At 55.1% G+C, this 13,775-nt stretch overlaps 1 protein-coding gene across 7 annotated transcripts in view, besides 2 other annotated features; it reads right to left on the reverse strand.

Moving 5' to 3' along the window:
• Positions 1–2,436: 2,436 nt before the first annotated feature.
• RBM19 (RNA binding motif protein 19) overlaps positions 2,437–13,775 on the reverse strand; it is a 149,586-nt gene continuing 138,247 nt past the window's right edge. For 2 of the 7 annotated variants that reach the window (XR_001748932.2, XR_944848.3), the window contains 3 exons: positions 8,906–9,018; positions 3,800–3,883; positions 2,437–3,058 (listed from right to left, as the gene is read on the reverse strand). Coding sequence is in view for 5 of the 7 variants with exons in the window: in NM_001146699.2 (NP_001140171.1) it covers positions 8,921–9,018 (98 nt within the window). In the remaining 2 variants the exon portion in view is untranslated. Of the gene's footprint in view, positions 3,884–7,753; positions 9,019–13,775 lie in introns of those variants that run through there. The other 5 variants (XM_017020281.2, NM_001146698.2, XM_047429936.1 and 2 more) reach the window with 3 other exon arrangements.
• Positions 3,645–4,572: an enhancer, noted in NCBI's record as "H3K4me1 hESC enhancer chr12:114255753-114256680 (GRCh37/hg19 assembly coordinates)". NCBI's record gives its function as "activates a minimal SCP1, AML or CMV promoter by ChIP-STARR-seq in naive H9 embryonic stem cells {active_cell/tissue: H9 hESC(naive)}" and the evidence as "EXISTENCE:reporter gene assay evidence [ECO:0000049][PMID:30033119]".
• Positions 4,573–5,498: an enhancer, noted in NCBI's record as "H3K4me1 hESC enhancer chr12:114256681-114257606 (GRCh37/hg19 assembly coordinates)". NCBI's record gives its function as "activates a minimal SCP1, AML or CMV promoter by ChIP-STARR-seq in naive H9 embryonic stem cells {active_cell/tissue: H9 hESC(naive)}" and the evidence as "EXISTENCE:reporter gene assay evidence [ECO:0000049][PMID:30033119]".

Here is a 13,775-nt window from a genome sequence, read left to right on the forward strand (position 1 = left end):
AACATGGCAAAACCTCACCTCTACTAAAGATACAAAACTTAGCCAGGCATAGTGGTGCATGCCTGTAATCTCAGCTACTTGGGAGGATGAAGTGGGAGGACTGCTTGAACCCAGAGAGGCAGGGGCTGCAGTGAGCCAAGATCGCGCCACTGCACTCCAGGCTGGGCGACAGAGTGAGACTCCATCTCAAAAAAAAAAAAAATAAAATAAAAAAATTAACTTGAAGCATTGAAGCTATGAGATTTCCCAGGTCTGTCTACACGGGGCTGTTAGTTCCCATGCTGACTCTTAGATTTCTTTTTTTTTCCCTTTTTTTTTGGGAGACAGCATCTCACTCCATTGCCCAGGCTGGAGTGCGATGGTGTGATCATGGCTCACTGCAGCCTCGACCTCCTGGGCTCAAGTGATCCTCCCACCTCAGCCTCCTGAGTAGCTGGGACCACAGGCCCACACTACCACAGCCGGCTAATGTTAAAAATTATTTGTAGAGATGGGGTCTCCCTATGTTGCCCAGGCTGGTCTCGAACTCCTGGCCTCAAAGCGATCCTCCCACCTCAGCCTCCCAAAGTGCCGGGATTACAGGAGTGAAGCACCGAGGCTGGCCCCTTTTAGATTTCTTAACCAAAGAAGGATAATTTCCTGTTATACCTCGGTCCAACCCTCTCTCCTCAACCTGAGACACGTATCCTCCGGTGTGTTCTCCACCTCTTAGCAGTCAACAGCTTACCGAGTTTAAAGCCAGTTCCTGCTTCCCTCCAAGCCAGCTCTTCCTGCAATGGTCTCAGCGCACACTAGCTTCCTTCTTCCCACTGCTTGGGCTGGAGCCAGGGCGCTAGCCTTGGTTGTGCACACCCCACAGCCAAACCTTTAGGCCACTGGCTGCATTTTCAGTCTGTCTACAGGCTTGGGCCACCTCACCCCTCCACTGCCACCTCCCTGCTCTGAGTCACCACCTCCCTGCTCTCCTGGCCACTGCAATGGCTTCTGAACACCTGTCCCTGCTTCAGTCCTTGACCTTCTGCTATTGATCCTTAACATGGTGGCAGACTGGGCCGGCTCTGCTCCCCTCCACAGGCCCAGACTTGACACCCAAGCCTGAGCCGGGTTGGCAGGCCCCTGCCCACTCTCCCTGGCTTTTTCTGGGGCCCGGGCTGTCCCCCTCACTCTCCCTTGAGCACACAGAGCTGTCCCCTTCCTCCCAGCTCTGCTCACATGCCACCTCCTCAGGGAGCCCTTCCTTGACCCTGCCAGACATCCCCAGAGAGAATGGAGCCTCAGCAGTGCCAGGGAAGCAATCCTCCACCCACTCATGTCTGGGTCTCCCCACATTTGACTACCAGCTCCTCGAGGCCAGGGAGTCTTATCTGCTGTGTCAACTCCTGCATTCCCAGCATCATGGCCATGCCTGGTGCACATAAGCTCAACACACATTTGCTGGGTGTTTCAGGTTTGAACCTCTCCCTTGCGCTCCTGGTCTGTATGAGCCCTGGAGGATGAAGCCAAGGACTCAGTCCTTGGAAGCCAACTGTCCTGAAGGTGGTCTCAGGGCTGCCCCCATCATCCCACTCTACCCTGAAAACCTATGATGCCTGGTCAATGCCTGGCACTGTCTGTCCACAGCCATAATGAGCTGCCACGCATGCCCACTGGTCCGGCACTGATGGCATTTGATATTTAAAAACAAAACAAAAAACACACTAGGGGTTCCATGGCAAGCAGGAGCTGAATAGGAGAATCTCACTGGGGGTGAGGAGAGAGAGCCCTTCACCCACACCGCCTTGAGGACAGGGCTCGAGTCGGCACACATTGGGCCTGCTCTTGCTGCCTTGAGGATAAGGCTCGAGCTGGCACACATTGGGCCTGCCCTCGCTGTAAAGAGGAGACAGCAGTTCAGGCCCTGCAGCAGGAGCGAGAGCACAGGGTGTGCCTCTGAAACCCAGCATAGGGCCGGGCCCCCTGCATGTGGGAACTGCCCTCACTGCTCTGGGGAGGTAGGGGCTTGGGCTTGTGCCAGAGCGAGCTGAGTGTGAGCCTGGTGGCAGCCCTCTGTGCAGCGCCATCTTGGGAATGTCACCCACCTCTCCATTTCTACATCTCCCATCAACTTACCTCTCACAGTTGCTAAAAGGACAAAGTGGGGCCACTGATTCCTTCCTCGAGTATTTACTAAGCATCTACTCCACGATGCAGCACGCACAAAATGGGCACAGACCTTGCTCTCCTGGGACTTCCGGTCCAGAGAGAGAGGTCAGACATGAAATAAAAACACAGAAACTGTTCACAGCTGTAAGGAGCTAGGGAGGTGTTCGGTGTGACGAGTGAATCTAACGAGGGGCCGGGGCTTGTCTAGGATGGGGCTTGGGAAAGTCATCTAGGCAAGGTGACTATTTCAATGGCCTAGGCGGCATGGGTGAATAAATTATTATTATGCAAGCATTCTATTAATCTTTTATTATTAAGACGGCTGAAAAAAATGATTACATATTATTAGTGAAGCTCAGTGGAAGAGAAGTGGGTGGAAAAGCTCTAACCCGAGAGGCCGCTTTCACAGGATGGGAGGATGGGTTACATTTTGCAAGGTGTACCAAAGGGTTAAAGTCATTTTCATTAAAATTTAAATTTCAGCATGCGCTCACTCTCCCTTCCCCGTCCTTTGAACGTTTGACTGGCAACCATTTCATATTTCAATCTCGGCAGAACAAATTGAATTAGATGTTGAAACCAAGCTCGGCTCTGTTCACCAAAGCCTGCGTGCTCTGCTCACACTAATCCTTTCCTAGACGCTGCGGAGCACAGACGGGCGCTGCGAGAGACGGCCCTGCACAAAAGACAAAAAAGACCAAGGCGGCAGGAAAAGGAGAGGAGGAAAAACAAGCGGGCAGAGGCTGCTGGAAATTGTCTTCCACCTGATGCATGGGGCTTAAAGCCTAGGAGACAGAGCCTGCGTCCACGCAGCAGGGAAGGCCAGTGTGGAGGCACACAGAGCGACCCGAGTTTCTGTCTTGTGTCTGGGGCACCCAGCACAGTGTCTCGCACACAGCAGATGCCCAGCAGGTGTCTGATGGATGAATGAATGAATGAATGAATGAATGAGGGAGAGGACTCACTCTATCAGCCCGTGCCTCTAGCCTGTGCCTGTTCCTCCCCTCTGCAGAGTGGGCCCGGCTATTCTCCTCACCCTCACAACTTCCTGAGAAGTGATAGCATGCTGCGCTCAGTGGCCTGGTGGCTCTCCAGTCCCCGTGCCCAGTGCAAACCAGCGGAGGATGCCAGCTCAAGTTTCTGGGGACGAAACAGGCAGACCTCCGGGCCTGGCTTGGGATCCCAGTGGCACCCCAGGATCACCCCATGTTCGCTGGCTCTTTCTTTAAACTGTGTAAGTCTGTGGAATGACCTAGAGGTGCTGACCCAGGGGCCCCGGAGTCTGGTTTTCAGAAGAGACAGTTCTGCTGCCGTGGCCATGGAGTCCTCACCCACTTGAGACCCCCCAGTTGAAAGGGTTAGGAACAGGCTGGGCATGGTGGCTCACACCTGTAATCTCAGCACTTTGGGAGAACAAGGTGGGTGGATCACTTGAGGTTGGGAGTTCAAGACCAGCCTGGCCCACATGGTGAAACCCTGTCTACTAAAAATACAAAAAATTAGCCGGGCGTGGTGGCTCACACCCGTAATCCCCACACTTTGGGAGGCCGAGGTAGGTGGATCACTTGAGGTCAGGAATTCGAGACCAGCCTGGTCTACATGGTGAAACCCAGTCTCTATGAAAAATACAAAATTAGCCGGGCGTGGTGGTGCATACCTGTAATCCCAGCCTTGGGAGGCTGAGGCGGGACAATCGCTTGAACCAGGGAGGTGAGCCCAGATCACGCCACTGCACTCCAGCCTGGGGAACAGAGCGAGACTTTGTCTCAAAAAAAAAAAAAAAAAAAAAAAAGAAAGGGTTAGGAACAGACACACAGACACAGCAATAGACAGGCAGCTGCTCCTGTGGGGGTGCTCACCTGTTTCCCCACAACCATTGGCCCATTTGGGCTTGAACTTTGGTTCTGTGCAGGAAGAGCCAGGTGCTGGTTTGCCTACTGGGGCCAGTGGGCAGGGGGGCACCTCCTACAGGCTCCTTCCTGGATCATAGGCTCCTCCCCAACATGGCGCAGCGCCCTGTGAGTCCCTATCCCGCCCCAGCCTCTGGACGTGGGCCCAGCTGGCCTGACATCTGCTGGGTGCAGCCCCACAAGCTTGCCTTGTTTTGAAGTTATGTTCACAATAATGATGGCAACTACCATTACTAAGTACTCACTAGGCATGACACAGTCTGCTAACTACTTTCCATTCATGACCTTCTGTTTCTGTCTTAACCAATCCAATGAGGCAGGAATTCCTGCACCCATTTGAAAGACATGGAACGCAAGGCCTGGAGACACTGAGAGCCTAGAGATTCTAACGCAGGCCTTTGGAGTCAGGGCCTGTGCATTCCGCTCTCCTCCTCCCGTCCCCACTGTCTCTCACTCCTGTCCCTCCTCCAGGCCCCACTGTCCCTCACCCCTGTCTGTTCTCCAGGACCTGTCTGACCACCCATCTCCCTCCTGCAGTCTGACTGTGTGTATCCTATAGTAGAGATGCCAGGGCCCTCCTCACCCATCCAGGGGTGGACCCTTGGTGGAGACGCCACGTGGGACAGAGGGAGAGGGCGGGATGCCTGGAGTTTCTCTTCTACCAGCCTTCCAGGCGCCCGCTAGTGCCCACTGCTGGCCAAACTGAACACAAGCCTCTTGATAAGGGAGTTTCAGAGACACAGCTCAAGGGGCCAGGCCCCTGAGACCCACAGCGGGTGGGAGACGGACGTGAGGACAGCAGATGCGGTTCCAGCCAGCCCTCCACTCTGGAAACAGCCTGTCCCCGTTCCTCCCAGCTAACTGAGCCACACTCTGAACACCGGGTCACAGGCCTCATCCAGATGTGTGCCTCTGGCTTTTCTGAGGCACGTGTCCTACTGACCTCCCACCTCCCTGTGTCCCTTTGGCCCCTCTGGCCTCTTGGTGTCACCTCTCCTTTCCTACGCAAGTGCTCTGGTCCAGCCTGTTATGGTTCTCTTTCCCGGCTCTCTGGTGACCATATCGGCAGGGAAGGGTCACAGCCCCCTGAGATGTGGCTGAGGCAGTTTCCTGCCCCCTGCAGCAGTCAGTCCTGAGCCGGGTCAGGAGGCTCACCGCCCTGGAGGAGTGCTCCCTCCTCAGTGCCACCTCTGTGGGTTATTTCTGGAGTTTCTCTCCCAGATCTTCTGGGTGTCTGTGTCTACCAACGTCCCATCATTGCTTCAAAAACAACCGAAGCCGCCTTTCAGAAAGCTCCCGTGTCCCCCTCCCAGTGACAGCGGTGACTCAGTCCCTTGCTGCCTTGGCTCAAAGGCTTAGAGTCTCCCAGTTCAACCCCCACATGCTGGATGGAGGAATTTCTCGTAAGACGCTTTCACCAGTCCCTCTTCTCCAAAGGAAGAAGAGATGAAGCCCCTCCTCTGGGCCAGGCAAATGACTTTTCCCGAGCTCCGCTTTATGGCTACCTGGCTGTACTTTACTGCATTCTAGAACAATGATGATGATTGTAACAAAAATCTTAATTGCTTTCCTAGTTCCCGTTTAAAACAGTTATTTTTGACAGGGTAAAAGGCTCTGGGTCACTGAGATCTTGCTCACACTCCAGGTTGTCCCCTGTACTGAGTGCTGTGACTGAGAGGGACAGGGGATGGGGGATAGGGGGTTGGGGCTGGGTGTAAAGAGGAGCTGGGTGTGGTTACTGCAGACGAACTGATCAGGAGTCTGTCTCCCTCAGTGAGGAAGCAGAAGTTAAACCGGGGCATCCAAACTTTTGGCTTCCCTGGGTCACCCTGGAAGAACTGTCTTGGACCACACATAAAATACAATAACACTAGTGATAACTGATGAACTAAAAAAAAAAAAAAAAATTGCAAATTTAAGGAAGTTTACAAATTTGTGTTGGGCTGCATTCAAAGCCCAAGCTTGGGTTGGACAAGCGTGATTTAAGATCTCAAAGGAAAATAAAAAGGCGCCACGCAGGAAGAATGTGAGGGAAGGGCATCCCAGGCAGAGGGAAGAGGCAGCTCGAGGGCCCTGGGGTGGGAGCCTGCAGGGAGGAAGGCCGGGACAGCGAGTGCAGGGTCAGGTGAGGTGGGGCCTCGGTGCTGGGGTGAGCAGCGGGACTCGACTTTCCATGCGTCAGGGAGGCCCTAGAGGGTTTGAAGCTGCAGACTGACATGATCCAGCTCACGGATCAGTCAGGCCACACTGGCTGCACGAGGACAGCTGAGCCGGAAGAGAGGAGATGAGGGTGCAGTCTGGTGGGCGCGGCATGAAGGGGCACCCTGAGATCTCTGTGGGAGTGGACTCCACTACTCCTGTGTGCTCACAGATCTGCCCCTTCCAAACAGTGCGTGCCTGGGGCAGGGGTGCAGGGGCCAGGCTCAGTATATGGCCTCTAGGCTGCCTCACTCCCCACTGCCAATTCCAGGCCAGGCCTGGCGAGTGGCTGGAAGCTCTCCCTCCTCTTGCTACCTTTCACTCTCCTGCAGTTCCTGAACCTTCCCCAGCTCACCAGCTTTCTTTTGGCCACAGGGAAGGCAGTGACGCAGGAAGGGTTGGACAGCCCTGATTCCCATCATTTCACTGTGTGAGCCCTGGCAGGGGCCTGCAGCTGCCTGGGCCTGATAACGCTTTTGTGACGGAGATGCTACTTGCATCACTCCATTTTAAAGATGAGGAGACTGAGGACTCAGCAGGTTAAGTCACTTGCCGAGGCTCACGAGGCTGGAGAGTGGTGGACTGTTACGGAGCCCAGGCAGATCCGAATACAGAGCCCATGTCTGCTCACCCCGCACCAAGCCCTGGATGATGCTGAATCCTGCTCTGGGGGGAGGTTCTAGAAGCATCCTCTGGGCCAGTTAAGTCAGTGCCAAAAGATGCCTGCCTCTGCACCAGGCCCGTGGGTCTACACCTGAGTTTTGGTGATCAGCCAGCCATCCCTGCTGGCTCTGGTGGTGTGGAAATGTGAGTACAAATTGTATAGACCAGAAGGTTCAGCCAGAAGGAGCCATGTGCCGCCGAACAGGACACGATCCAGCTCACAGATCTGAGCAGTGGGAAGGCATGGGGTAGGTCTCCAGCCCTGTCATTCCGCATGACCTACGGCAACTTGGGACCCTGGTCACCTGAGGGTCGGCCTGGGTGTGGTTTAACAGAGACACTGTTCAGCCCCCACATCCAGAAGGCTGTGGTTGATGTGACTCTGTGAGCCACCCCACTATAAAAGCTGGAGAATGTGGCTGGGCGTGATGGCTCACACCTGTAATTCCAGAGCTTTGGGAGGCTAAGGTGGGAGGACCACTTGAGGCTGCAGTGAGCTATGATCATGCCACTGCACCCTGTCTCTAAAAAAATTAAAAATAAACGGCTGGGGAACGAGCCATTCTGTGTCTTTTGTTTCCACGAATTCTCAGGGATGAGCTTGGATGGCTAAGGGGGTGCCTGCCCTAGAGGACACGAGGCGCATGCTTGGTCGTGCAGGCTGCCAGCTCTGTGTTGCCTTGCCTGGGCTCTGGGCCACTCCGAAAACTGGATGAAGACTGGAACCTCATCCCCACCAAAATGCACAGACCATGTTTTATGCACAGAGTCTGAAGATTCCCAAACTCTCACTTGGAGGCCCACCCAGTGACTCTAAATGAAGAAGAAAACAAAAGTGCTGATGAGAATCTTCTCTGGGCTTTACTTGGCTTGACTCACTTAATTCTGGCACTGTCTATCTGAGGTAGGCACAATTATCACCCCCATTTCCTAGAGAGAAAAACAGAGGCTCAGCCAGGATGTCATTAGTCTGAGGTCGCACCTCGGGGAATGGCGATGTCTAGATTCAGACTGCAGTGAGATGCAGTGCAGTTCTTGCTCTGCCCTCTCCGTCTTGCCCTCTGCCTGGTGCTGGCACAGGCCCTTCCAGGCGGGAGGCTGCGTCTCAGGCTGGAGAAAATGTGAACACGGGCGCCTGAGAGAAGCCTGGGGATGCTGCTGGCCAGCGGAGAGGACCTTGATGCATTTCACAGGGCTCTGGGCCCGTGAGCAGAACGCGTCCACCATGAGTGACATCATTCAGCTCAGCCAGGGAGCTTGGCATCTGGGCTTGGAGCTCGATGCTTCATGAGCCGCTGGGAGGCTTCCCTGGGTGACTGAACCAGGGCTCGTGGTCCCAAGTGACGAGGATGGGGCAGGACAGAGACCAAGTCCCAAGCCGTGAACAGTCCCTTGGAAAGACATAGGTGGGAATTCTAGCTCAGCAGCCCTGGAGGGAGAGCAGGAACAGGGCTCAGCACCATGCCCGGCACTCTTCATGCATTACTGCGTTTATTTCTCTCTAAAACCTTATGAAGTAAGAACTAGCTAGCAAGGGGAAGGCTGGGCCCAAGGAGATAAGGAAACTGGGCCAGGGTCTCCCAGCTTGAGCTTGGAGACGGGGTTTCATGTCCAAGCAGCCTGATGCCAGAGAGCTGGCCCTCGTCCCCTTACTCTCCTGGGGTGGGGACAGGGGGAGCAGGGGTTCTAGCTCCCTGTGTAGCTGTTCCCAAGTCTCTCTTCCTAACGTGGCTGCTCCCTTGGACTCTTCCGTGTCTGCTACAGAGCAGGTGCGCAGTCAGTGTCTGCTAGAACGCGTCACTGGTGAAACCCAGGATGCCTGGGCCGCTGGGCAGTGGCCTGAGGCCTTCCTCATCCCCTGTCTCCTCCGACCTTGGACCAGTGCAGGGTGGGGCCGCCTGCCGCTCCCCGCCCCGCCCCCCAGCCCACATGGTGGTGAGTGCAGAAGCTGGAGCGGCTGTCCCGGTCCCCAGGGCCCCGGAGCCACACACCCTCTCGGTGCCAGCTCACAGCTGAAGGGTCTGCTCCTCGCTGTCGCTGTCACTGCCTTCCAGCTGCTCCAGGATCTCGTCCAACACCACAGACCGCTTTTTCTTCGGGGGCTCTGTGGGAGCCCAGATGGCAAGAGAGGAGAAAAGAACAGCCGAGAGGGTTGGGAGGCAGGAAGAGAGAAATGACAGAGGAAGGAGGGAGAGGGGAGAGATGAGCAGAACAAGGGTGCGGGGAGACAGAACAGAAGCGAGAGAATGCAAGAGAGGGAAGTTGGGGAGAGCGGAGGGAGAGAAGATACAGAGGGAGGTGGAGAGAGGATGGGGCAATGAAGAAAGATAAGGAGTAGGGGAGAGAATCAAAGGGGAAATGAGGAGGAGAGAGAAACACTAGAGTTAGTCTCAGCATCACCATGGCGGGGCTGCCTCCCTCGCACCCCCAGAAACTCTCCTGCTTCCCTGGCCATCCCCTCCCCATCTTCTACCCGCAGGGGAAAGGATTCCCTTGAGAAAAAAGAGAGAAAGGGTCTCCTGTGCTGCTTCCTCACAGCAGGTCAGAGCTTGGCTTGGAGGAAGCTGAAACCCTTCAGAGAGGCTGGACCAAGCAGTGGACAACGGCTGGGGAGACAAGTAGAAGTTGTTTCTGTTTTCTTGGAGGCCAGGCTAATGGTGCAGTACATGGCTGGCATACAACAGGTGCTCGATAAGTGGTGGGTGAATAGAACAGATGCAAAGCTCAAGGATTCCAGAGGAGGCGTGGAGGGAATGACAATTAGAGGTGGCTTTGAAGAGGAGGACTATTTGACTTGGGCTTTGAAGAATGCAGAGGAGTTTTCTGTGAGGAGAGGGGATTCAGGGTCATGAAGAAAAGCACGGAGGTAGGAAAGGGCATGGTGGGCTTAGCCCCACAAGCACCTCCTGATTAGGTACCATCATGAACCATGGCTCCACTCCTGTCAGCAACCCCACAGGCAGGTGGTATGCTGCCTCTTGTAGGAGACGGAACTGAGGCACGGACAGGCAGGTCTGAAGTCACTCAGCTAAGAAGCGGTGGAGCCAGGATTCGAACCCCAGTCACACCTAAGCCCACAGTCTTTCTGCTTTTTATGAAAGTCTCGGGTTCTAGGCAGAGAACTCCAAGGGGATCAATGGTGGCAGGAGAGGACGTGTGGGGCCCCTTGGCCCTCCAGGAAAAGAGCGAGGTTGGAATCCAGGCTGGCTTCCTCTGTCAGTCCCTCTGCTAGTCTAACCACTTGTCGATGAGCAGCCTTGCTCACAGATAAGGCTTGATTTGTACAGAGGCAGTGTAAAGAGGCTGTCCAAATCCCCTCCCTTTCCATGGCTCAAACACCTCCCCAAATAAACCACCCTGAGGCCCTTTACCTCCATTTATCCGCAGGCTGTGAGCTCCCTGGAGCTCACAGCAGCGGCCTAGCCTTTTCTACTGAGACCTCCCCAGGGCTAGCACAGTGCCTGGCCCAGAGATGAAGACTTGGTTTCCCTCTGCGTGTTCCTGGGTGAGCGATTTCACCTCTCTGAGCCTGTTTCTTCAATCTCGTCCCTCCCAAATCAATTCAAACATTGAACCCGTTTCTCATCATCTCCACGGCTGCACCCCAATCCAAGTACCTCTCAGCCCCTCACTAGAGACCCCCCTCCCACCAAGGGATCCCTCTAAAACATGTGCGTCAGATCCACCACTCCCTAAGAAAGCCCCAAGTTCCTCTGGAGGCATCACTGGAGCTGGCCCACCTCCCCCTGCTCAAGACCTTTGCACCGGCAGCACCCAGATCTCCCTCTCCCTCTACCTCTGAGCTCCAATGCCACCCCACCCCCTGGCACTTTTTATTACCCACACTGCCGCAGGCCTTTCTTTGTGTGGGATGTTGTCTCACTCACTGCTGTGTCCCTGGCCTTAGCACACTGCCTGGTGCCTAGCAAGTGCTTGTGAAATATCCCAGAAAGGGGAATGAGCGGACGGAGCAAGGGTGAGAGAGAGACGGCAGAGCCTGCCCCATGGTGAGCGTGCAGAAGGTGCGGGAGGTGCCCACCTGCCTGCCACCTGAGAGCCTCAAGGCCTTGCAGCTCTACCCATCATTGTTAATCATGAAAAGGGAGAGGGGGACAGGGTGGGCTGGGGTGGTGGGGGCTGGCGGCCCGGGGCTCGGACTCCGGCTTCCTCTCCTTCCTTGTGACCTCCTAGACACTCTTGGTTTCCTTATAATCGCCAGCCCTGGAGGTGCACAATGGCCTCTGGAAATTGAATTTGTGGGCAGGTAATAGGAACTGGAAAATAGAACGCAACAAAACAGGGCCCACAGGCGATCACTGACGCCCCTCCCATCTGCTAATATGAGTTGGGGATGGCAGCTCACTCCTGGGGCAGGGTCCCTGCCTTCCTGGGCCAGGCCTGGCCTGGGGTCTAAGGGATGGCCAGCGGTGGCGGCATGGGACTTTTTCTTCTCTCCCACATCCTGACAACTTGGAGGGACTGGCGAGGGGCGAGTTCTAGCCCCATCCATTGTGTCGGCTCAACCTGTAAGATAGAGCTGGACTTGGGGTGCTTCTTCCCCATGCTCCTGCACCCCTGGGCCGTGCCACCATTGCCTCTGGCTTCCTCTGCCCTCCTCCCAGGAGTCTGGTCTCAAACGGCAGCCAGAGGGAGCTTGTTAAATCCTCCATCACGGCATGCTGTTCCTTTGCTCAAGCCTCCAGGGGCACCATCTCACCTGGGGAAAAGCTAAAGCTGTCACGTCGGCTGCCAGGGCTACTGAGCAGGCCCTGCCACCTCTCTGCTTCCCTCCCACTCTGCTCAGGCACTCGGGCCCCTTGCTGGCTCCTGGCTTCCAGCACTCCCACCTCAGGGCCTTGCACCTGCTGTTCCTTTGGTCTGGAATGCTCTTCCTCCACGGAGCCACTCAGGGGCCTTACCTTTTCAGTGAAGCTTCCCTCCTTATTTAAAATTCCAAGTCCTCCAGAGTGCCCTGATGTACACTTCCTAATCCCTTTCCTGTCCACTTCCCCCACAGCATGTCTCCCGGTCTCACTGTGTGTCATGTTTCCACTTTATTATCTGTCTTCCTGGCTGGAACATCTGCTCTAGGAGGGCAGGGGTTTCTGCCTGTTTTGTCCACTGTTCCATTCCCAATGCCCAGAACTGTGCCTGGCACATAGTAGATGCTCAATAAATGTGTGCTGAGCGACTGAGGGAGTGAATGACAGGGAAAATTGAGGGTCAAGTAGTGTAGGTTGCTGAAGGACAAACAGCAGCTGAGACGAGGCCAAGAGCAGTTGTTCAGAGCCTTCATCCATGCTCTCATCCCCTCACATGACGGAGACACCTGCAGCACCTGCTCTGGGTCGGGCATGGTGGGGAACAAGCCTGGCTTGGCCCCACCTAAGGCTTTCTGGTCTGGCAGGGGGAGATGGAGAAAGAACCAGATAGTTGTGCCTCAATTTCTAACCTGTAAAATGGAAATACTAGGGGTTGTGGTGAGGCTGAAATGAGTAAAAAGGGCAATGCCCAGCCCCTGGCTCAGTCGATGGTGCTGAGACCAACACCTGTGTTACTATTATTGATAGGAAAGGTGTTGACTTCGTGTCTCTCTTGGTCTTTGGGGCAGTGAGCACTCATGGGGCGGGGGCTCTTACGCGGAGCCTGGCTTTGTGGCCTTGATGAACCAAAACATCTCATTCCTTTACCTGCCAACTATGTACTCATGTATCATAAGCCAGCCTCCGTGCTCCTGGGCCTGGCATATCTGCCAGGGTTCAGGCTGGGCCCCCAACTGCCCCCTGGAGGACATGTCAGGCCCCGAGTTCCCACCGAATGACACCCCGCACCTCCCGCTGGCCCTGCTTCCTTGAGGAGCACCCTGTTTGCAGCGAACAGCTGCTGAAATCCCACTTCCCCGACATCAAAAGCCTCAGTGGGTTTTCACCAAACAAACATAATGCAGAACCGGAGAAAGGTGTAAAATAAATAAACGAAACAAGCTGTGCATTTTCTTTCAGTATTACAGCTGCACCCGAAGATAAACAACAAGTGAATGTCACCAAACATCAATACCCGAGAAATTAACTTGACAAAAAGCTCAGCCATCCCCCGACAACCCCCCAGTCCTGCCCCCCTCCCCACCAACCTCCAACCACCATTTTTGCATTTCTGGAGTTCCCACCTAATGATTTTATTTTTCAATTAATTCCTTGACAGAATGCCAGCCTGTGTCTCTCCCTTCCCTGGCTGGCGCTGTCGGCCCTGCATGGGAGGCGCAGGCAGGCAGGGAGAAAGGCGCAGGCAGGGAGAAAGGGCGGGGGGGCGGGGGGGTGCGTCGGGAGGACAAGAGAAAGCGCTTCTTGGGGTTTTGTTCTGGAAGCAGACGTTGAGGAAAGGCAAGCCGGGGGAGAAGAGCGTGGCTGATAAGGGGAGAAGGGAGTTCTGAAAGGAACCCTGGGATGAGGCAGGCGTGAACAGTCCGGGGAGGGGAAAAGCACTGGGCCAGGAAGCCCAGGGCTGGATTCTGAGTGGAGAGGCCTGAGGTACAGGGTGGAGGGTGCTAGATGCAGGGTGCTGGGTGGGTGAGCTGCCAGGATCAAACCCTGCTGCTCCTGGCTGGGCAACCTTGGGTAAGTTGCTTCACCTCTCTGGGCTCCTCTCAGTTTCTGCAGTTACTGAATGGTGATGAAATCTACACGCCTAGGGTGTGTGAGGGTATTAAAAGAATGAATATATGTATGTAAGGCCCTCACAATAGTGCCTAGCACACGGCAAGCTGTCAATATAGGTTGGTCATTCTTACTGCTGTTGATGGAATCTGTTACTGAGAGCACGAGGGTGGGCTGCTCCCCTCCTCTATAACACGATGATAGCAAC

This window comes from Homo sapiens, chromosome 12 (genome assembly GCF_000001405.40).
Source record: "Homo sapiens chromosome 12, GRCh38.p14 Primary Assembly".
In the NCBI taxonomy this organism is placed as follows: domain Eukaryota; kingdom Metazoa; phylum Chordata; class Mammalia; order Primates; family Hominidae; genus Homo; species Homo sapiens.